The sequence below is a fragment of the Homo sapiens genome, chromosome 14, assembly GCF_000001405.40.
Source record: "Homo sapiens chromosome 14, GRCh38.p14 Primary Assembly".
NCBI lineage: Eukaryota > Metazoa > Chordata > Mammalia > Primates > Hominidae > Homo > Homo sapiens.
This window is the reverse complement of record NC_000014.9, coordinates 76559821-76584345: the sequence shown is the minus strand read 5'-3', so window position 1 is coordinate 76584345 and position 24525 is coordinate 76559821. Positions and strand designations below refer to the sequence as shown.

General features: G+C 46.8%; 1 annotated feature.

The window, feature by feature from the left end:
* Positions 18919-19418: an enhancer, noted in NCBI's record as "H3K4me1 hESC enhancer chr14:77031271-77031770 (GRCh37/hg19 assembly coordinates)". NCBI's record gives its function as "activates a minimal SCP1, AML or CMV promoter by ChIP-STARR-seq in primed H9 embryonic stem cells {active_cell/tissue: H9 hESC(primed)}" and the evidence as "EXISTENCE:reporter gene assay evidence [ECO:0000049][PMID:30033119]".

Below are 24525 nucleotides of genomic sequence, written 5' to 3'. Positions count from 1 at the left end.
AGGGATGAGGGGCTGACCTCAGTTGGTGTCTGCCTGGTGGCCCAACCACTGGGACTGGGGCCTTTGGCCAATCAGGGATCCACTTTCCTTCCACCCTGTTAATAACTGGGATTGAAGCTCAAAGCTAAACCAACAGGAGCCAGAGGCTTGATGTTGGCTGGATGCACTTACAGAGGGCACGGCACTTTGCTAGGCCTGGGTGGCAGCAGCCAGGAGGAGTTTAAGTCAAAGTGCTCATCAACCGGGGACGTAAGATCCAAGGATGGAGACAGCACCGATAATCAGGACACAACTGGAGGACAAGGCCTAGGCCCTGCCCTCATGTGTGGCCTGGAACGAGAGTGTCCAGGGGCCCTCAACCCGCAGCTCTCCCACATCCCTCCCAACAGGACACCTAGCTCTCACCCTACACTTTGGCTCCCTCTCCCAAACAGCTGCCTCTGGGCCACCCATCAGGCCTGGGATGAGCTTGACCCACCTCCCAAGGGAAGGGCCAGGAAGGAGGCCCACATAAATTCTGGAAGCCACTTAGGGCCAAGTATACAGGGAATTCTGAGGATGTGGAATAGGGTCTACAGAAGAACACAGGCTTGGTTCCGGGAATCCTTGTGCCACAGGGAGGAGCTCTGCTATAGAAGAGGGACAGTGGAGATCCAGGGCAGAGGCTCCCTTGCCTGGGTTAAGGGCAGACCTTATGAGATTACGGTGGAAACAATTTGAAACAGCTGAAAGCCAATGGGGCAGCATGTCGTGTGGTTGGAGTACCTGGGCTTTGGAGCAGGACCACCTGGTTGGAATCCTGACTCTGCCATGTTCTTGCTGTGGAACTTTGGGCAAATTACCTACCCTCTCTATTCTCAGGGTCTTGATTTTAGGAGGAGGATAAAAAAAATTGATTCTTCATAGGGCTATTGAGAAGTTAAATATGTAGTGCACAGAGCCCTCTATCTGACACAGAGTAGGAATTAAATTAGTGTAAGTGATGACTACTGTATCAATGGCAGCATTATTAGATGATGTAATGACAGTGCTTTGCAAACATCCAGCCTTGTGATTGATGTTACAGACTCGGGGCACTTGGCTCTACCATTTGCTTGCTGTGGGATCTTGGGCAAAGCACATAACCTGCCTGAACCTCAATTTCCTCAACTGCAAAATAGAGATTATTATAACCACCTCATAGGATGTTGTGCAAATAGAGTGGAATAATGCATGTTAAGGGTCTAGCACATGGTAAGTCTTTAGACCAAGTCAGTTATTATTATCTATTAACAACTATTACCCCATCTAAATGTTTGGGATTCATCATGATTATCACCCTCCAAACAGATATTTTAGTGCTTCCTTTTCCACTCTAAAATAAAATCCATAATAATATAACCTGAGTAAATGCATAATTTAAAAATAATACTACAGATTCTAAATACAATATGAAGAAAAATAAAATAAGAGTAATTTACTTAAAAAACAATATGACTTTAAGTGTAACACTAAAAAAGTAATTTCTAACAAAACAATTTGTATTTTAACCTATAAATGATCAGGTATGATGGCACTAGAAGGCATAAAGGAGGAGTCTGTTGGTGAAATCTGAGTGAGGTCTATAGTCTAGTTAATTGCACTGCACCAATCAATTTCCTGATTTTGATAATGAGCTATAGGTATATAAGATACTTCCACTGGGGGAAGCTGGGTTATGAGTACATGGTACCTCCCTGTACTACTTTTGCAGCTTCTTGTGAGTCTATAATTATTTCATAATTTATAAGTGGATTTCTTAGCTACAAATGCAGACTAATATATACTGCCAAATGAGCAGCCAAATACGATGAATAGTGTTTCCATTGTGATTTCATTTTCTGAAATAGTGAACAATTCTTGGCAAGGTCATGAACAAAACAAAGTTCAGTTTTACCTTGATTTACAAGAGTTGAATTGCTGGAAAATTTGGTGATATTAAAACTCTACAAAAAACTGCTTTGTATTTTTATGTAAAAAAAGTGTTAAGCCAGACTCAGATCCCTCAGGTCAAGTTTGTCATACATATTAATGTCCAGTGAACATCCAAAATTCACATGAGCATTGGTGGTATAGTGGTGAGCATAGCTGCCTTCCAAAATTCACAAGAGACATGAAAGAACCTTTGTCATGTAGGATTATCCTGTGTGTTTGCCATCCTCCCTGGACACGCCCACTAAATGCTGTGGGGAAACACAATCACTGAAATTGCCCACCTCCCTGTCCCCCTTCTCAGAGGGAAGAAACTTCCACTGAGAGCCATTAATATATAGAGGGTTCTAGTCATCCTTCTCATTCCTAACATGGTGGGCACATTTAACACTCACTGTCTTGAATTTGGGCCCATAGTGGTAGGCTTCCCTTGTCCCTACCACTCTAGGAAATAGCTCTCATCCCTTCTTTCTGCAGAGCCTTCCTCAACTCTGTATTCCTTTAGCCTTGACCATGTCAGCATCACCCTTATAAATGAGCCTTTTGAAGCCAGGTGCCTGTAGCTGAACGCCTGGAGGCAGCCACCATCTTCCCAAGAGAGGACTGACTCATTCTCTCTGCCAGGTGCCAAGAGAGAGATGAGGCCTATCCACATTTCCAAGGGCCTTCCCTGTGAAGCCCAGTCCTGCACCTGCACCACACTGCTGCTCTTCAGCCAGCTCTCTAGAATTTGAAACCTGGGTAGGAGTTCCCACCATCCTACCCCCAACTAGTACATCTTCAAAGAATAAACTGCCCAATCAGCCTTCACATCTTCTTACTAATAAAAGGAAAACATGGAGCTAAAAAAATAATGACCCTTGGCAAACTGATATCAAACATAACCAAAAATGCTTAGTAGCTGTGTGAACTTGAACAAATCACGTAATCTCTCTGAGCCTTAATGTCCTCAAACTGTATAAGGGTCATGTAGAATAGTTTATATGAAAGAGCTCCGTAAAATGTAAAGATTATATTAATATGATTAATTGCTATCACTGTTATTGTTATTTGAGCCAGTTCAAATATTCATTTAAATATGCCAATGGATAAAAGAGCAGTGGGCGGGAACCCCAAGTTATAGGAACATAGAATGCATGCACTCTTCAAAACCATCATCTAGATCAGAGGTTGGCAAACCACAGCCTGTGGGAAAATCTGGCCCACAGTCTGTTTTTGTAAATAAAGTTTTATTGGAACACAGCCATACTCATTTGGCTACATATTGCCTAGGGGTGCTGCAACAGGAGAGTTCAGTAGTGTAACAGAGAGCATATGGCAGGCAAAGCCTAAAATATGTGTTACCTAGCCCTTTACAGAAAAAGTTTGGGGACCCCTGGTCTGCACAGTCAACAGAAGGATCTGTCTAAAAGCTCCAACCATGTTACAATCCACCTCTTCAACAGTACCCTGTTCAACAAGGAACATAGGCCAGGCTTCAGCCCACCCAGCCAGCCTCATCTTCCTGTTACAGACTTCATGCTTTAGAAAACCAAGCTTCTTTCTTGCAGTTTCCTTGCTCAGTGTTGTTTCTCATCCCATGCCTTTGCCAAGGACGTGAGGCTGGCTTGGGATGGTTCTGGCAGGTTGAGACCTAAGCTCCTTTTCTAGCCTCTGCTTGGATCTCTTAGCCCCATCCCAGGAGCCTTCAGCCCCTCTGTCCTTGAAACAGGAATACAGCATGAGGGTCCACTGCCTCCTCTTAGCCTGGGAAGGCCTGAAGGCGTGAGCATCACTCAGGAACTTGGCTCTGGAGTGTGTAAAGCCCCAGTTCCATGCCTGTCACCCAGGAAGCAGCAATAAATAGTCACTATTATTATCGCTTAGCACCCACTTTTGGGTCCTGCCAAGTTTCAGAGTGCTCCAACTTTCATGGGGCCCTTGACCTGCTGTGAGAATTTAAGGACCTGCTGTGAGAATTAACCATCTACCTGCTGCTCCAACCCATTCTCTCCTCTCTGGGAGAGGCAGGGATTTTTCTAAGGCAGGTGACACTATAATTTCAAGTGCTCTGTAATGACTTCTTAGTTACACAGACACTTAATAGAATTTCCTGAGATAGAGGTTGAGTCCACAGTAATTCTAGACCTCCTATTGACTTGAGTGTAATTGCTGCTAATAGACAAAGAGGTAATTACTGTGTGACCTGCCTTCTGGTTTGGAAGCAAACAGTCACACATGTTGTGCTGTTGGGGGCATCTGACAAGTGTTACTCTTGTGCCCAATTGTGCCCGACCGAGTCTCTGCCCTACTTGAAAAGACCCAGTGATCCAATCAATCACAGGACCGCTGAATCTCTGGCTGGCAAGGGATATTGAGGTCCTGTGGTAGGCAGGCTAAGGGTGCCTGAAGATGTTCATGTCCTAATCCCCTGAACCTGGGAATATGTTATGTTATATGAAAAAAGGGAATTAAGGTTGCAGATGGAATTAAGAATGTCAGTCAGCCGACCTTCAAATAGGAAGATTGTCTTGGGTCATCTGGGTGGGCCTAATATAATCATGAATGCGAAAGAGGGAGGCAGAAGAGGTCAGAATGATATGATATGAGAAGAACTAGACCCACCACTGCTGGCTTCGAAGGTGGAGAAAAGATCCACACGCCACAAAACGGGGTGGCCCCTATAAGCTGGAAAAGGAAAGAAAATGGATTCTCCCTGCGAGCTTCCACAAAGGACCACAGCCCTGCCACACCTTGATTTTAGTCCTGTGAACCTGATGTTGCATTTCTTTTTCCTTTTTTTTTTTTTTTTTTGAGATGGAGTCTCGCTCTGTTGCCCAGGCTGGAGTGCAGTGGCATGATCTTGGCTCACTGCAACCTCTGCCTCCTGGGTTCAAGTGATTCTCGTGCCTCAGCCTTCTGAGTAGCTGGGATCACAGGCGTGCGCCACCATGTCCGGCTAATTTTTGTATTTTCAGTAGAGACGGGGTTTTACCATATTGGTCTCAAACTTCTGGCCTCAAGTGATATATCCGCCTCGGCCTCCCAAAGTGCTGGGATTACAGGTGTGAGCCACCATGCTGGGTCTGATGATGCATTTCTAATTTACAGAACTATAAGGTAATAACCTGTGCCATTGGAAGCCACTGAGTTCATGGTCACTTGTTACAGCAGTTGTTGAGTACGATTGTCGGCCCCTCGTCTATTCCAGCCCCTTTTACCTGATACAGAAACCCCTCTGCAGTAAGCCTGATTTATGGCCATTTTCCAGCCTCTGCTTGAGGACTTCTGGTATGAGGAGCTCACTGCTCAGGACACAGCCTATCCGATATTGGTCGGATATCATTGTTGGAAAAGACTCCCCTTGTGGGTTCAAAATTCATCTCCCATAACTTTGAATCATTTGTTCTAGTTCTTCCTTGGGGACGCACAGACTTACACACTCACGTACATACACAAGTGCATTGAAGTTTCCCATGATGGCTCTTCACATATATGAAGAACTCCCCAGAGCCTGGCATGAAGAAAGCACCATAAACATTTGCTGATGGACAAATGAAAAAATGCAGCTCCTGCAGCTCCCCTGTGACAGTGTCATGAACTGGAGCTGACCTCTGTTATTTTTGTCCCCAGCTGTAGCGTCTACTCTCCCCTTTCTCCGCTAGCAACACCCAGATTCTCCTTGGGAAATGCCCTCCTTAGCTCTTCATTTGGCTTGGCTGACAAAGCATTGCACCCCTGTCCCGCCTCTGGCCACAGTGATGGATTCAGGGGTGGCACACAACTCAATCCCGGAAACTGGAACTGATGAGACTCAGTTCTTGGACTTTGGTGGGGAGAGGACCATTGAGAAAAGGGCCTGGCCGGGTGCAGTGGCTCACGCCTGTAATCCCAGCTCTCAGGGAGGCAGAGGCGGGAGGATAGCTTGAGCCCAGGAGTTCTAGACCTGCCTGGGCAATATAGAGAGACCCCGTTCTCCACAAAAAGGAAGAAAAAAAAAAAGACGAGAAAGGGGCCCTGTTCTAATGAGAGGCCCAGGAATCTGACTTTTAATAAGTACAAGTACTCCAGTTTCTTGTTTTGCACATCCTGCGGGTCGCATTTTGAGAAACATTGCATGGGGGTTGTTTATCTGGAATCTTAATCTGAACTCCACAAATGTAGACTCAAATACCAACCCTGAAGGTGGATTTTAACTCAGGACTTTATCAGGGCAAGAAGAGGATTATTGGAGAAGACCTAAACCCATATGAGAATAAACCATGGATAGGTTTGTTAAACATAAAACTATAGTGAATTAATCACCTCAACTTTTTTCAGTTCACCCTTTCACTTGGGGTCTGGTGAACCTGCTAAACAGTCAGGCCCACTCATGTGCTCGCTCTCTCTCTCTCTCTCTCTCGTTCTCTCTTTCTCTCTCTCTCTTAGCCCATGTGGACACCCAGATTACGGAGAACAAAGAGAAGCCTAATCTGAGGTTCCCTCCATTGCCTCACCCCCTTCCAGACTCAGAATAAGTGAAAGCCTTGTTCCCATGAATGCTCAGGGCCAAGGGGCTCTGGGGAGTCTCTTGGGGCACAGGCACTCTATCCTCACTGGAGAGGCCTGAGTGTTAGCAACCAGGCCTTTGGAAGTTCCCCAGGGTTCTGTGCCCTCTGAGGCCCAATCCAGATACCAGCCATTCTCTCTTCTGGTCTGAAGGACAAATGGGGAGCTGCCTCCAGAGGCTTGATTATAGTCTATAGTTTGGGACTGCCCTATGATCTCCTGGGATGTGTAGTTGGAATTAGCGGTGCTGTCCAGGCCCCTGCAGCCACCTCTCTAACAGAGCCAGGGCTTGGCACACAATTGGCTCTTAGAAATATATGTTGGATGTACGATTGAATGAGAGCAGATAGAGAGGGGGAGAGGGAAAATGGGAAGAGAACAGTTCTTTCAACTCCCACTTGGCTAGAATAAGGAGCTACTTTAATAAACTTCCCATCAAAATGGCATTGCTTGCATGATAACCAAGAAAGCAGAAACAATCCAAATGCCCATGAAATTCCCATGGATAAGTGGATGAACAAAATGTGGTATATCCACACCATGGAATATTATGCAGCCATAAAAAGGAATGAAGTTCTGATATGAGCTACAGTGTGGATGAACCTCAAAATGCTGGGTGGCAGAAGCCAGACACAAAAGGTCACCTGTTGCATGATTCCATTTATATGAAATATCTAGAATAGGTAAATCCATAGAGACAGCAGATTAGTGGTTGCCAGGGGAAGGCGGGGAGGGAGTAATGACAGTGAATGCTTAATGATCACGGGGTGTCCCTTGAAGGTGATAAAAATACTTGAAACTAGATAGAGATGATGGTGGCACAACATCGTGAATATACTAAGTGCCATTGAATTTTGTATACTTTCAAATGGTTAGTTTTATGATATGTGCATTTCACTTCAGTTTTTTTTATATTGCATGATATATTAATCTTGTCGCAGGGCTATCTGGCAGCCTTAATGCTATTTGGCATCCCATCCTCCAGCTGTGAGGGCTATTTCATTCTCAAGGACTCATTTTGCAGTTTGGGGGTCATTCCAGCACTGTACCCTCCCATGACCTTCCCCTCCACTTCTCCCCTGGTCTAAGGCATTGCTAGAATTTCACTTCCTGGTGGTTTCTCATTTGGGCTTCCTCCACCAGGCTATTGCTATCTCTGCTTCCCTGTTCCCTGCTCCTTTCAGTGGCCAAGCCTCAGTGGCCACCTGTCCTTTTCCCTGAGCCAGTCTCCATCCAGCACGGTTTCCTATGAACCTAGGAAGGTCAGGGGCTAACTGCCAATTCCATTCTGCTAGGGTTTTGGTGACGTCTGTAGCCAGGAATGGCTAGAATTTTGTTTTTGATTTCCTCTTCTGGCTGTCATCCAATTCCACTTCAAGTGTCAGCCATGGCTACTACAGTTTACCGGGTGCTGGTAGGGTGGGTCATTTCCCATTCAGAGGACTTATAACTATTCTAGAAGAGCTCTCAGCTCCTGCCTCTGCTGCTCCCATCACTGGGTCTCTCAGGTTATAAGCCTCTGCCGTTCGACTTTGTGGACTCCTTTTCCCAAGCTCCTCTCCTCTGCTCTTCTCTCTGATATCACACAGATGTGTGCAGAGATGGGCAGGCTGGCGTGGGCTCCTGCGCATGCACACAAGCTCCTCTGCAAAACCTCCCAACTGCAGCTCCACCTCCATGGCGTCAGGGGGTGTTGAGTGTAGTCTGGAGGACTCTCCCCCTCTACTCCAGAAGACAAAGCAGCTGTCCCTAGGGCTGGGGCTCAAACACAAGCTTGTCTTTTTTCAAATCACTTTAAATCACTGTGCCTCTATGTTATGGGTTGAATTGCATCCCCTAAAAAGATATGTTTAAGTCTCAATTCCTGGTCCCTGTGAATGAGAACTGATTTGAAAATTAGGGACCTTGCAGATGTAATAAAGTTAAGACGAGGTCATTAGGGCCGGGGGTGGTGGCTCACACCTGCAATCTCAGCACTTTGGGAGGCCGAAGCAGGGAGACCACTCGAGGTCAGGAGTTCGAGACCAGCCTGGCCAACATGGTGAAATCCCATCTCTACTAAAAATACAAAAATTAGCTGGGTGTGATGGCACATGCCTGTACTCCAGCTACTCAGGAGACTGAGGCAGGAGAATCACTTGAACCTGGGAGGCAAAGGTTACGGTGAGCCATGATCCAGCCACTGTACTTCAGCCTGGGTGACAGAGCCAGACTCCATCTCAAAAAAAAAAAAAAAAAAAAAAAAAAAAAAGATGAGGTCATTAGGGTGGGTCCTAAATCCAATCTGACCTGTGTCCTTGTAAGAAGAAGAAAATTTGGGTACAGATGCAACGAGAGAAGCAGAAATTGGAGTTAGGCTGCCACAAACCCAGGTCTACCTGGGGCTGCCGGAAGCCGGGAGAGGCAAGGAAGGATCCTCCCCTAGAGCTTCTGGAGGGAGTGTGGCCGCAGCTGCCTCACCTTGATTCAGAATTTTGGCCTCCAGAACTATGAGAGAACAGATTTCTGTTGTTTTAAGTCACTCGGTTTGTGACATTTCGTAACGACAGCCCTAGGAAACTAACATACTCCGCCTCCATAGAGAGCAGTAATAGACATGTTTTGAACACGGAAAATCCCTGCACACATGTCAGGGTAGAGTTGTTGAGGATCAGGAAGGTAAAGCCTGTGAAAGAAAAAGATTTGAAGTGTTAAGCACCGGTCACACATTATTATGAAATCATTATTCTATTATTGAGAAAACAGAACCAACTTCTGAGCATCCCACCTCCCCTCTGACTTGCGTGCACCTGATAATTTCTTAACCATTTGCATTCCTCCTTTTGTCAGTTCCCTTCTCCTGCTTCCCCTTTAATACCTTGCAAACATGAAGAAGAAACCGTCCCTGACAGCCCAGTTAGGGACAAGGGATAGGTTAGCCCAGCTCCGAGGCACGCTGCACACAGTTAATTTCCCCCGCCGGGGCTGGGAACCCCAGTCTCCGTCCCGGGCGTGCGTGTGCGCTCATGTGTGCCCCCGGAGCATAGGGAGAGAATCCAGTGATATTTCACACAAATGAGAAATGTTATTCTGCAGATTAAAGCCTCGCTGAGCCTGGTTTTGTCTTTATTTATGCTTTTCCATTTCCCTCTGTGCTGACATGGGTGCCCACGCCAGGGAGCACTGAAGGACGTAATTGGCGTGGTGAAGGATTGTTGAGTGGCCTGGACGCTCCCTTGCAGGGATGCCCCCCTTCTCTCCCCCATCTGTCACCATCTAATGTGACAAAGTTTTTATCGGGCATTGAGGCACAGGAGATTAAAAGTAAATACTGCAATCAGGAGGCAGCTGGGGAGAAAATGCAGCGCATTTCACAGTAAGCTGCACAGCTCATCAGGGTAGCCTTGTGGCTCCGTGAGGCGGGGGGTGGGGAGATGGGGGGATGGAGAACTCCAGGTTGGGGTGAATGCGGGGAGACACAGGCCTAAGCCGCTGTGCGTTCACTTTTTGGTAAGTAATAATAAAATCATGGCAGCTGCCATATATCAAATGCCTACTATGTGCCAGGCATTTGGACCAGGTGGTTTTTGAACATTTCCTGATGTAATCCTCAGGATGATAACTTACAGTTGGAATAACCTCCTCCTTTAATAGATGAAGAACCTGAAGGCCAGAGAGGTTAAGGAACATGTCCAAGGTCACACAGCTGATGAGCTGCCCAGGAAGCCCTCTCTCCTTCTCCTTTCTGCTCTCTTCTTCCCTGAACAGATACTGGGGTTTGGGTTTGCAAGATAAATTGCCACTGGAGAAACTGTGTTTTGTTGCATTTTCATTGCTATGTTGTACTAAACGACAAGCATCCTCCACTAATGAATTAATTCCATCTTATATTCATTCATTTGGCATACATGGTTTATGTTCTGCTTGCTTTTTCTATTCAGTATCTCTAGCACCCAGAGCATTGTCTAGTACATAGTAAGTGCTCAATAAATATTTGTTGAATGGCTGATTGATTTATTGAATAAATAAATATTAGTCAGGACCTCCTATGCCATTGGTACTCAAGTGTGGTCCCTAGACCAGCAGCATTGACATCCCTTGAGAGCTTGTTAGAAATGCAGAATCTCGGGTGACACCCTAGATCTGCTGAATCACATTCCCAGGTGATTCATGTGATGCTGAAGTTTGAGGAACACTGGCATGTATATAAGACCCCTTGTCCTGACGGCCCAAGCTTTCCTGCTTCGTGGGTGAAGGAGGTTGAATTTCACTTACCTCTGAGATAGTGCTTTATGCCACACATCATTAAATCCTATTGCTAAAATAACCAGCTTTAGATGGTTTTTCAGTGTAGACTGAATCAGCCATGGGTGGGCCCCTGCAAATCCTTCTCCTTTGGTCTCCCTTCCCCTTTCCTTTTTCTCCCTCTGCCCTCCCTACAGGTCTGGGTCTATGGTCCTGGCTGATAGCAGATCTTTGAATTCTTCAGACGGGGCTCTGTCCTTAGCTACTATGTTCTCTCTCGAAGACTTTGATCTCTTCTCATTGCAGAACCAGGTGGCCTTGGACTGACCCAGTTCTCCCCCCATTCCCCACAGTTTCTTGCTTGTAGTTCTCAAGAATAACTATGGCCGGGCGCAGTGGCTCACGCCTGTAATCCCAGTGCTTTGGAAGGCTGGGGTGGGTGAATCATGAGGTCAGGAGTTCGAGACCAGCCTGGCCAACATGGTGAAACCCCATCTCTACTAAAAATACAAAAAATTAGCTGGGTGTAGTTGTGGGCTCCTGTAATCCCAGCTACTCAGGAGGCTGAGGCAGGAGAATTGCTCGAACCCAGGAGGCAGAAGTTGCAGTGAGCTGAAATCGCGCCACTGCACGCCAGCCTGGGCAACAGAGTGAGACTCTGTTTCAAAAAAAAAAAAAAAAAAGAATAACTACAATGTGTTAGGAATGCAACATCCTGAGACACAGAGGGACTGCCCCACACAGGCTTTGAACCTCTCTCTCCTGTGGAAGCAGGATGTTCTCAATGCTTTAGTTCAGTGGGTGACATGACCCCAAGGTATATAACCCAGGGAGTAAAGACTCCATCCCCTGCAAGCCTTGTGTGGTGATGCATGCCTGCAGTCCCAAATACTGGAAGAGATGGGGATGGGGAGGCTGAGGTGGGAGGACTGCTTGAGCCCAGGAGTTCAAGGCTGCAGTGAGCTATGATAAAGCCACTGCACACCAGCCTGGGCAACAAACGAGACCCGGTCTCTAAAAGGAAAAAAAAAAAGACTCCATCCACCCCAGCCAGCTCTCTTGAGCCTTGGGAAGCTGGCTCACAATGGATCCTAGGCTGCTTCTGTCTCCTGCTGCCTATCTGTAAGCAATAAACCCACTTCACAGAACATGTTGGCTGTGAGTGTGTTCTTTCTCACCGGACTCAGGCATTGAAACTCTGCAGCCCAGGATGCAGTGGACAGAAGTGTTTGACTCCTACTCCCATTAATTGGCATAATGAGGATCTTGGCTGTGCCCCACACAGGGGAGGGCCTTGCTTGGGATTTGTTATTAATGAATCTGCTTCACACTCATGGGCAGGGACCAAGGGCGTGAAAAAGAAAGAAAACTTCATCCTCCCAAACAATGAGCCAAATAAGCCCTTACTTCTGTGGCCCATAGAAAAACAGATTCATGTTTTTATTTTAACTTCCATTGTCTAGCTAGGGAAATTGAGGCCCAGGAAGGAGAAGAATCCCCACATAGGCTGATGACACCAAACACTGAGTAGTATTCGGTCCTTAATAAGAAGATGCAGGCTGGGAGCAGTGGCTCAAATCTGTAATCCCAGCACTTTGGGAAACCGAGGTGGGAGAATCACTGGAGGCCAGGTGTTTGTGACCAGCCTGGGCAACATAGTGAGACCCCATTTCTACAAAAATAAAAAAATTAGCCAGGTGTGGTGGCGCACTGCTATAGCTATTTAGGAAGCTGAGGTGGGAGAATTGCTTGAGTATGGGAGGTCGAGGCTGCCGTGAACCATGATTGTGCTGTTGCATTTCAGCTTGGGTGACAGAGCAAGAATGGCATCTGTCTCAAAAAAAAAAAAAAAAGCAACCACTGAGCCAGATAATGCTTATAAGCTTACATGATAAGAGAACAGTTCCCCCATGTTGAGCCTGTGTGTTGTTCCTTACTTCCCACTTCAGATTTGTGTAGCCCCACTGCCTTGGGGACAAACAGACTTGGCTGTGATGCTAATCTCATTCTCTAGCCTGTAACATTGCCAGTCTCCATCTGCCAGCCTGGACAGAGGCTGCAAACTTGCATGATCCAGGAATTAGAGCAGGGGTGTCCAATCTTTTGGCCTTCCTGGGCCACACTGGAAAAAGAAGAATTGTCTTGGGCCACACATAAAATACATTAACACTAAGGATAGCTGATGAACTAAAAAAAAAAGAAAAGAAAAATATCACACACACAAAAAATCTCATAATGGTTTAAGAAAGTTTAAATTCATGTTGGGTTGCATTCAAAGCCTTGCTGGGCCACATGTGGCCCGCAGGCCACAGGTTGGACAAGCTTGATTGAGTCATACATAAAGCATTCAGTCGGCTACTTAGTAGCATTCATTATTACATTACCGCAATTATTTTATCATGAACTATAAATCTAAGTATACTTTTCTTATTTTAATATTTGCAAATTCAGAGTGCAACTTATAATACAATAAACACATTTGATAAATTGCATTTTTTTTTTTTTTTTTTTTTTTTTTTTTTTTTTTTTTGGAGATGAAGTCTCGCTCTTCTCCCCCAGGCTGGAGTGCGATGGTGAGATCTTGGCTCACTGCAACCTCCGCCTCCTGGGTTCAGGTGGTTCTCCTGCCTCAGCCTCCCGAGGAGCTGGGATTTTAGATGCCCGCCACCACGCCTGGCTAATTTTTGTATTTTTAGTAGAAACGGGGTTTCATCATGTTGGCCAGGCTGGTCTTGAACTCCTGACCTCAGGTGATCCACTGGTCTTGACCTCCCAAAGTGCTGGGATTACAGGCGTGAGCCACTGCGCCAGGCCCATTTATTTCTTTTAAACTTTCATTAGATTGATGGTGTGTGTTACAATTTGTGGCCTCTTAGAATTGAGGGAATATGACATTAAGGCTCTAACAGAATGGGACATGGCACAAGTACATTTTTGTTTGTTTGTTTGTTTTTTGGAGACCAAGTCTTGCTCTGTTGCCCAGGGTGGAGTGCAGTGGTGTGATCTCAACTCATTGCAACCTCCACCTCCCAGGTTCATGCAAATCTTGTGTCTCCGCCTCCCTAGTAGCTGGGATTACAGGCGCCCACCACCATGCCCGGCTAATTTTTTTATTTTTAGTGGAGAAGTGGTTTCTCCATGTTGGCCAGGCTGGTCTTGAACTCCTGACCTCAAGTGATCCACTCACCTTGGCCTCCCAAAGCACTGGGATTACAGGCATGAGCCACTGCACCCGGCCCACAGGTACATTTTGATAGATGATAGGAGGCTTAGGAAAAGTGGAAATGAGGATAAATAAATAATCACTGGGATAATAATAAATACTACTTATTGGGTGCTTATTTTATGCCAGTTATAAGTTTTCTCTAACTATTGAATAAGCTCACAAGGAAGATAACATGACTTTAGGCCGGGTGCGGTGGCTCACGCCTGTAATCCCAGCACTTCAGGAGGTCGAGGTGGGCAGATCACAAGGTCAGGAGATCGAGACCATCCTGGCCAACATGGCAAGACCCCGTCTTTACTAAAAATACAAAAATTAGCTGGGCGTGGTAGTGCGTGCCTGTAATCCCAGCTATTCAGGAGGCTGAGGCAGGAGAATTGCTTGAACCCAAGAGGGAGAGATTGCAGTGAGCCAAGATAGCATTGCTGCACTCCAGCCTGGGCAACAGAGGACAGAGCAAGACTCCGTCTCAAAAAAAAAAAAAGATAATGTGACTTTAATAATTTTAAACATTTGTATATTACAGTCTTCATCTTATGGCCTTTTTATTTAATAAACACTTTATTGAGATATAATCCCTATGCCATAAAATTCATTCTTTTAAAGAGTACAATTTAGCGGATTTTAGTATATTCACAGTTGTATCTATAGCCTTTTTAAATGTGAACTTCTTGTGGATCTGATCTTACTGCCTCTTATATCTGCCAACTTTCACTCATGGTGAATTATTTCCTTGTGGGTTTTGTAATTTTAGATTGTGAGTTCATCTTCAGTAAGGCTTTGCATGTGGAAATCCTACATCAATTGGATAGAAAATGTGTTCCTCTAGAGGGAGTATTGTATTTGCCCTTAGGTATAACTGGCCCTAGACTTCCTTTTGCTGTTGTTGTTGTTGTTAGTTGATTGGATTAGAGCTCCAAAACCACGGGAGTAGAGTAAATTTGAATTCCAAACCTATGGGAGGGAGACAGGGGTCATGGTTAGGAATTCCCAAAGACATTTTCCTGCACAGAGCCCAGGCCTGGATCAGGATTTCTCAATGACATTTTGTGCATTATTGACATCCTGGGCTGGGCATCTCTTTGTTGTGAGGAGCTGCCCCCTACATGGCAGGATGTTTAGCAGCATCTTTGGCCTCTACCCATTAGATGCCAGCAGTACCCTTCCCCTAAGTTGTGACAATCAGGTGTCTCTCTGCCCCCTAAGGGACATTGCCGAATGTCCCCTGTGGGGCAAAATTGCCCCTGGTTGAGAACCTCTGGTCTAGACAAACAAGCTTCCTCAATATTATGGAAAAAGAAAGAGACCTCAGCACGTTTCCATGCCATCAACCTGTGGCAGCCAGAGGATGTTTTCCTTATTTTCCCAGTTTTGCTAAGGTTGTAGCCTTTTAGGGGTTATGGATTTATGGGGTCTCAGTTCCAATTGCCCTCCCCTCACCTGGGGCCAGGGTCCTTAGGCAGGGGCTGGGGTAGGATGGGGAACATAGGGACAGCTCTTGTGCTTTGTGGTCCTGTTTCTGGTTTTCCTTTTTTATTTTTAGCTCCTATGGGTTTCTCTTACTTTCTTGGAAATTTGTTTATACATTTTTTGTTGTTGTTGAGATAGGGTCTCACTCTGTCACCCAAGCTGGAATGCAGTGGGATGACTGTAGCTCACTGCAGCCTTGAACTCCTAGGCTCAAGTGATCCTAATCCTCCTGTCTCAGCCACCTGAGTGTCTAGGACTATAACTGTAAGCCACCACACCTGGCTAATTTTTTTATTTTTATTTTTTGTAGATATGGAATCCTGTCATGTTGCCCAGGCTGGTCTTGAACTCCTGGCCTCAAGCATTCCTCCCATCTAGGCCTCTCAAAGTGCTAGAATTACAGGCATGAGCCATTGTGCCTGTCAGTTTATACATTTGGAAGACTGCCAGGTTACATTAAGCATTTCTGGGTATTTTGTAACAAGATGAATTTTAGGTCATCAAGTCTATAATATTGCTAGAATTGTGGATCCCTAGGTAGATATCATTATTGCCATACGGACATGAAGAAACTAAGACCAAAAGAGGTTGAGTGATTCAAAGACCACACAGCTGATAGGTGGCAAAGCTTGGATTTGAACCTAGGTCTGTCTGGTTTAAAAGTTAAGAGCTATGTAGAATCCAGTGGTTTGGGAATTGGAAGGCACATCCTATTACTGCTCTAACAAGACAAATTACCAAGAATGTAGTGGCTTAAGAAGTCTGCAAGGGGTTGGCAGGGCAGCATTCCTTCTGAAGGCTCTAAGGGAGAACCCATTGTCTTGCCTTTTCCAGCTTCTAGTGGCTGCCTGTAGTCATGGTTCCATGGTCCCTTCCTCGCTTCAACTTCTGCTGCTTCTGTTATTCTATCTTCTTCTCCAACTCTGACCCTCCTGCCTTTCTCTTATAAGGATGCTTGTGATCATACTGAATCCACTCAGATAATCCAGGATAATCTCTGTATCTCAAGACCCTTGATTTAATCACAACTCTGAAAACCCCTCTGCAATGTAGAGTGAGATATTTACAGCTTCTGGGGATTAAGACATGAACATTTGTAGGGGGGCGTCATTCAGCCTATCACAGAAAGGATCTAACAAATACAAATGTTCTTTAACTTACAATGCGGCATCAGAAATTGAAAATATTGGCCAGGCGCAGTGGCTCACGCCTGTAATCCCAGCACTTTGGGAGGCCAAGGCTGGGGGATCACAAGGTCAGGAGTTTGAGACCAGCCTGGCCAAAATTGTGAAACCCTGTCTCTACTAAAAATACAAAAATTAGCCTGGCGTGGTGGCACACACCTGTAATCCCAGCTACTCGGGAGGCTGAGGCAGGAGAATTGCTTGAGCCTGGGAGGCAGAGGTTGCAGTGAGCAGAGATGGCTCCACCACACTATAGCCTGGGTGACAGAGTGAGACTCCATCTAAAAAAAAAAAAAAGAAAAACAAGAAATGGAAAATACTGTAAGTTGAAAATGCATTTAATACACCTAACTTACCAAACATGTGAGGGTAAACGCTTAGGGACACACACACACACACACACACACACACACACACACACACACAGAGTCAAGCTGATTGTCCCAAGTTTATTAGCACAGAGACAACTTGGGGATTGTGTACGAGGGCCACCACATTTTCAGATCCCCTAGACGAGGATGAAGCCCCTGTGAACACAGACACTGCGACTGACCCACTGGCCACTGCCAAGAACACAAAGCCCCGCCCCCACATGCTGAGGCACCTGGGTCCATAGGTGCTCCTGTGGGCCGTGGGACCTGGGTGTCCTCACTTGGCTTCCTTTGACCAAGGGGAGAGACAAGCTTGTGACCACTGCAGAGACTCTGTGTGGACGTGTGCACAGCAGTTGGTGTGAATAAATGGTCAACGGTTCTCATTTCAACCAAAGTTCACTAACCTCCAGCTCTTTGCCAGGGAGTGGAGATGAATACATTCATTAATTGTTCAAGAAGTCCTTATTGGCTGGGCACAGTGGCTCACGCCTGTAATCCCAGCACTTTTGGAGGCCGAGGTGGGAGGATTGCTTGAGCCCAGGAGTTCAAGACCAGCCTGCGCAACACAGGGAGACTCTGTCTCTACAAAAAATACAAAAATTAGCCAGACATGGTGGCACTCACCTCCCCTGCATTCACCTCCCCTACGCTCACCTCCCCTGCACTTACCTCCCCTGCACTCACCTCCCCTGCACTCACCTCCCCTGCACTCACCTTCCCTGCACTCACTTTCCCTGCACTCACCTCCCCTGCACTCACTTTCCCTACACTCACTCTTTAGGTACTTACTGAAGAAGCCCTGACTCTGACGGAGGGCTGCTGGCTAGGAAGCAGGCTTGGTCTGCACAACGGTTAGGCTAGAAGTGCCAGGGAGCTCATGCCCCTGGGAGCAACCCTCAACTAATGTCCAGTGGGAACTTAAGATAATGCCTCAGCTCCTCTGTCCTCAGGCAGGAGTAGGACAATACTGGGACTTGTTCTGCACACTCTCCCAGGGTCCCCAGCATGACTGCACCCCAGGTGCCCACAGGGTGAGTTGCTCCCTGACATTCACTGCATCGCCTTCCTTCCCTTCCCTGTTTTCACTGTCCCGTGCCCCTTCAGGAGCTTCCTGTCCCAGAAACCACCTCATTCACATCCTCACTCAGGCTCTGCTTCTGGGGAACCCAGCCTAAGACAATCACTGAGTGGGGAGAAAGATGCCTGGTTCTTAGCCAAATGAGGATTTCTTTTTTAATATTTTAAAAAATTCATTTATTTATTTTTGGAGATAGGATCTTGCTCTATTGCCCAGGCTGGAGTTCAGTGTCACCATCATGGCTCACTGCAGGCTTGAACTCCTGGACTCAAGGGATCCTCCTGCTTCAGCCTCCCAAGTAGCTAGGACTACAGGTGCGACCACCACGCCTGGCTAATTTTTGTATTTTTTGTAGAGACAGAGTCTCCCTGTGTTGCGCAGGCTGGTCTTGAACTCCTGGGCTCAAGCAATCCTCCCACCTCGGCCTCCAAAGGTGCTGGGATTACAGGCGTGAGCCACTGTGCCCAGCCAGTAAGGACTTCTTGAACAATTAATGAATGTATTCATCTCCACTCCCTGGCAAAGAGCTGGAGGTTAGTGAACTTTGGTTGAAATGAGAACCGTTGACCATTTATTCACACCAACTGCTGTGCACACGTCCACACAGAGTCTCTGCAGTGGTCACAAGCTTGTCTCTCCCCTTGGTCAAAGGAAGCCAAGTGAGGACACCCAGGTCCCACGGCCCACAGGAGCACCTATGGACCCAGGTGCCTCAGCATGTGGGGGCGGGGCTTTGTGTTCTTGGCAGTGGCCAGTGGGTCAGTCCCAGTGTCTGTGTTCACAGGGGCTTCATCCTCGTCTAGGGGATCTGAAAATGTGGTGGCCCTCGTACACAATCCCCAAGTTGTCTCTGTGCTAATAAACTTGGGACAATCAGCTTGACTCTGTGTGTGTGTGTGTGTGTGTGTGTCCCTAAGCGTTTGTATGCTCGTATCTCGCACTTAGTGTCTGGTGTGTATATGTGTACCCGTGTTTTGTGCTTCAGTGTGTATTTGTGTGTGCGCAGTGGCTGCCTGTCATTATGCCGCTAATGGAAATACGGCCACGGATCGCAACTCTCAATTAGCTCCCGGGGCGATCTCTGTGACAGCCAGTTACCGAACAGCAAGGCCTAACGGAATGAATTAATTTGTAGTACACGGCAGTTAGAGTCACTGTGTTAGCCACAGGGACTCAACAGTCAGAGACCCTGATTAGAGGGGCTCGGACCATTTGGCAACAGAAGGTACCTGGGAGGCCTCTCCCCTGAGTTCCTGACCTAGGAAGGGGATCAGAGGAACATCAGGGACCTTAGCTGAGCTCAGGACCATGCAGCCATCAACCACTCCAGCCGGAGGGCTCTGGCTGGCACTTGGCCAGGCCAAAGGCCCAGGGTGTCAGGAGCTTGGGAGGTTGGTGAAGCCTTGTTCTCTCTCTCTCTCTCTCTCTCTCTCTCCTCTCTCTCTCTCTCCTCTCTCTCTCTCTCTCTCTCTCCTCTCTCTCTCTCTCCTCTCTCTCTCTCTCCTCTCTCTCTCCTCCTCTCTCTCTCTCTCCTCTCTCTCTCTCTCTCTCTCCTCTCTCTCTCTCTCTCCTCTCTCTCTCTCTCTCTCCTCTCTCTCTGTCTTCAAACTGAAACTTTGATTGGTTCATTTTGTTTGGAGTGGGGCCAGATCTCTTCAAGAATGGAGTCTTCAGGGGTCAGCTAGGGGGAGCCCTAGGGCGCCAGGGAAAGACAGAAGTCAACCATTTCTCCATGTATTTGTTAGGACTCTTTCTTTATTTTGAATTGAACTGCAATTCACATAACATGCAACTAACCATTCCGTGTACCATTCAGTGACATTTGATGCATTCACAATGTGGGCAACCACCACCTCTCTAGTTCCAAAACTTTTCCCTCACCCCAGAAGAACACACTGTACCCTTTGAGTGATCATTCCCCATTCCTCCTCCTCCCCCAGTCCCTCTGACACAACCACTCATCTACTTTCTGACTCTATGGATTTGCCTGTCCTGAAGTTGGTGTGTCAGTGTGGCTAGGCTTCAGTCCCCAGTTATTCAGCCAAGCACTAACTGAAAATGTGGTGGCCCTGGCAGCAAATCTCCCAGTTGTCTCTATGCAAACAAACTTGGGCAAATCAGCTTGAGTGTGTGTGTGAGTGTGTGTGTGTGTGTCTGAGCATTTGTGTGCACATGTGCACACGCTTAGTGTTATCACGAAGGTATTTTGTAAACATGCGTAAAGCCCACAATCCATTGACTTTAGGGGAGACAATTCTTGAAAATCTAGGTGGACCTGATTCAATCGGTTGAAAGATCTTAAAAGCAGAGCCAAAGCTTCCGTAAAGAAGAGATTTCTGCCTGTGGACAGCAGCGTCAGCCCACGCCTGAGAGTTCCAGCCCACCCTTTCTGATGCCTGCTCTGTGGATTCGAATTTGCCCTGCCAGCCCCACAATCACATACCCCAAGCCCTTCAATCTATCTATTTAACATAACTAGCTATCTGCCCACCTATTCTCTATCTATCTAACTACCTATCTATCTATATATAGAGAGATAAGAGATGGAGATATCATCCCCTATCTTGCTTGGAGCCCTACAAACTAACTGGCTCCTCTTTGTGCTCCTTCCCCCAAATGCAAGTACTTCCCAAAGTCCTTCCTTTGTTTGTTTCCTTCCTTGTAATAATACCATCCAGGCAGCTGGGCGTGGTGGCTCATGCCCGTAATCCCAGCACTATGGGAGGCCAAGCCGGGTGGATTACTTTAGGCCAGAGTTCGAGACGAGCCTGGCCAACATGGTGAAACCCTGTCTCTACTAAAAATTCAAAAATTAGCCAGGTGTGGTGGCAGGTGCCTGTAGTCCCAGCTACTTGGGAGGCTGAGGTGGAAGAATCGCTTGAGCCCAGGAGGCAGAGGTTGCAGTGGCCCGAGATCGTGCCACTGCACTCCAGCCTGGGCGACAGGGCAAGACTCCATCTCAAAAAAAGAAAAAAAAAATACCATCCAGGCACATAGCCCAGTAAATATTTAGCTGTCATTGTCATCATTGCTATCACCATTACAGAGTGCAAATGTTAAAGGAACACAGAATTCCATACTAATGAAAAGATTTATGCTTGACCAACAGAGTTCTGGGTGGGAGAGGGGCGAGACTGAATTGTTTCTTGTCACTGCCTGACAGGAGTTTGCCCCTGTTCTTCTGCTTTCAGTGGTGATAACACCATTGTTTTCTTCTCTAGGCAATAGAAGCATCACCTCTTTGTCCAGAATCCAGAAGGCTGGTAATTAAGTGTCGCATGTGAGTAATAAAATACAAGGAGACATTGGCCACACGGACCCCACTCTCATGCCCACGGGCAGATGACAGCTGTGTAGGTACAGGCAGCACGGGTAGCTCTGCTTGGCTGCCCTGGGTGAAGGTGTGTCTGTCCTCGGGCAGACTCAGAGGAGCAAGGAGGGGATCTGCCATGGCATCAAAGAGAATGACAACATCCCTCGGTCCCATTTTCTTCAGGTTTTGCTTTCTCACCTTCTTCCTTTATAATACCACCTAGCTTCTCCAAAGGGCAACATTTACCTGGTGCCTCCATTTCCTCCTTCCGGTCTGGCTTCCCCTCTCCTGCTTTACTGAGTCAAATTCTAAGACATTAACTAGAACCCAACAGCCACATCCAAGGGCTGCACCCAGTTTCTCAGCAGCCTTCACACCTCTCGGCCATGCCTGGCTCCTCCTTGGTGATACTTCTCTCCTGGGGCCTCTATGGCACTGTGCCCTCCTGGCTCTCCTTCTTCCTTGATCACTCTTGCCTCCTTCGCTGGCTCCTCTTTCTGCTCCTGCGCCCCAGTGCAGGCACTTCCCCAAGTTCCTTCTTTGTTTGTTTCCATCCCTTTCTACTGCCTCCTTTTGATGAGTCCACTGGCTCCCATAGCCTCAAAGAGTTCCTCAAGGCAGATGAATCTTCTGTATCCATCTCTATTTCCCCAGTTCCAGCTATGCAAAAATGTGTGTTGAACTGTGAATGGGACACTCATTGCCCCTGTATTGGTTGGGGTTCTCTAGAGGGACAGAACTAATAGGATAGATGTATATATGAAGGGGAGTTAATTAAGGAGTATTGACTGACACGATCACAAGGTGAAGTCCCACAATAGGCCGTCTGCAAGCTGTGGAGCTAGGAAGCCAGTCTGAGTCCCAAAACCTCAAAAGTAGGGAAGCCAACAGTGCAGCCTTCAGTCTGTGGCTTAAGGCCCGAGAGTCCTTGGCAAATCACTGCCATAAGTCCAAGAGTCCAAAAGCAGAAGAACTTGCAGTCTGATGTTCAAGGTCAGGAAGCATCTAACACCATAGAAAAATGGGGCCGGAAGACTCTGTGGGTCTGAGACAGGAGAATAGTGTCTGGAGGCAGGGAATCTATGGCTGATTCACGCTGACTGCCCAGAACTAAATCAAAGGAAAAAACTCAACTTTCCAAACCTAAGTAACAAAAGGACCAGAAGCTATTCCCTTTGCAAACCCTCCCCACATCTTTCTGCATGGCAGGTGGAAAATCGAAAGTATTTATGATTGGTTGCTTTCTGCAACCAATCAGACTGATTACGGGTCACTACTTCATTTGCATGGGGTGTACACCAAGTGGCCAGTGGGGAACCTCTAGGGGGTATTTGGACCCCAGAAGATTCTGTCTCGGGGCTCTGGAGCCGCTGCTCAGCCCACTCCCACCCTATGGAGTGTACTTTCGTTTTCAATAAATCTCTGCTCTTGTTGCTTCATTCTTTCCTTGCTTTGTTTGTGCCTTTTGTCCAATTCTTTGTTCAAGAAGCCAAGAAACTGGACACCCTCCACTATTAACACGTCTGCTCTTTCCAACTTCTTCTGGCCTGCTTTATTCTAGCTGTGCTGCCAGCTGATTAGATGGTGCCCACCTAGACTGAGTGTGGGTCTGCCTCTCCCAGTCCACTGACTCAAATGTTAATCTCCTTTGGCAACACCCTCACAGACACACCCAAGAACAGTACTTTGCATCCTTCAATCCAGTCAAGTTGACACTCAATTATTAACCATCACAGCCTTCTTCCCTCCTTTTACAAATATCCTCCAATTCCAGGTGTTGTTCTTGCTTTTCCAACCTAAACGTGCAGCCGGGATCCTCCTCCCTATGTTCACCTCTATGTCGCTTTCTTACTCAACAGCTCTCAATGAATGGTTGCCCTTTGCCCCATCAGCAAAATTAACACACTTTACTATGATATTTAGTGTCCTTGGTAATCTGAATATAACTACCTTTTCAGTCTTATTTTTCCACTACTCATTTGCCATAACTTGGATATATTCTAAGCCCCCAAACCACTACTCGCATATCCCACCTTTATAATTTTGTTCATTCCACCTGAAATGCCCTTCTCCTAAACTTAAAAAAAAATACCTTTTTTTTTTTTTTTTTTGCAGCTGGGTGCGATGGCTCACGCCTGTAATCCCAGCACTTTGGGAGGCCAAGGCGGGTGGATCACGAGGTCAAGAGATTGAGACCATCCTGGCCAACATGGTGAAACCCCGTCTCTACTAAAAATACAAAAAATTAGCCAGGCGTGGTGGCGGGTGCCTGTAGTCCCAGCTACTCGGGAGGCTGAGGCAGGAGAATCGCTTGAACCAGGGAGGCGGAGGTTGCAGTGAGCCGCAATTGCGCCATTGCACTCCAGCCTGGGCGACAGAGTGAGACTCTGTCTCAAAAAGAAAAAAAAGGAACTTTAAGACAGAGTCTCGCTCTGTCACCCAGGCTGGAGTGCCGTGGCACGATCTCACTGAAACCTCCTCTGCCTCCCGATTCAAGTGATTCTTGTGCCTCACTCGAGTAGCTGGGATTGCAGGTATGCGCCACCATGCTCGGCTAATTTTCGTGTTTTTGGTAGAGACGGGGTTTTGCCATGTTGTCCAGGCTGGTCTCACTCCTGGCCTCAAGTGATCCGCCTGCCTCGGCCTCCCAAAGTGCTGGGATTACAGGCATGAGTCACTGTGCCCGGCCAAAAAAGTAATTTTTTTCTGATGATACAATATATTGAAATGAAAATAAATAGACATAGCAGAGGTATCAGGGGCCAGGGGAAGAAAATAAATAGATGAGAAAATCTGTGGGCCTACTAATTCAGGGCAGGCTATTAGCCAGAAGATGCCCCCACCTTCTAGAATTCATACATATGGGGAAACCCAACTTTGGCTTGTAAGGCATTTCTTCATGTTACCAGAACCAATTTTCTTTTAACCCCAAATACTTCACTGTTTTTCCAAAGGACAAGGACATTCTCTTATGTAACCTTAGTATAGTTATCAAAATCAGAACATTTAATGTTAACAATTGGCTGGATGCAGTGGCTCATGCCTGTAATCCCAGCACTTTGGGAGGTCAAGATAAAAGAGGCCAAGATAGGTGGATCACTTGAGGTCAGGGGTTTGAGACCAGCCTGGACAACATGGTGAAACCCCATCTCTATTAAAAATACAAAACTTAGCCAGGCGCG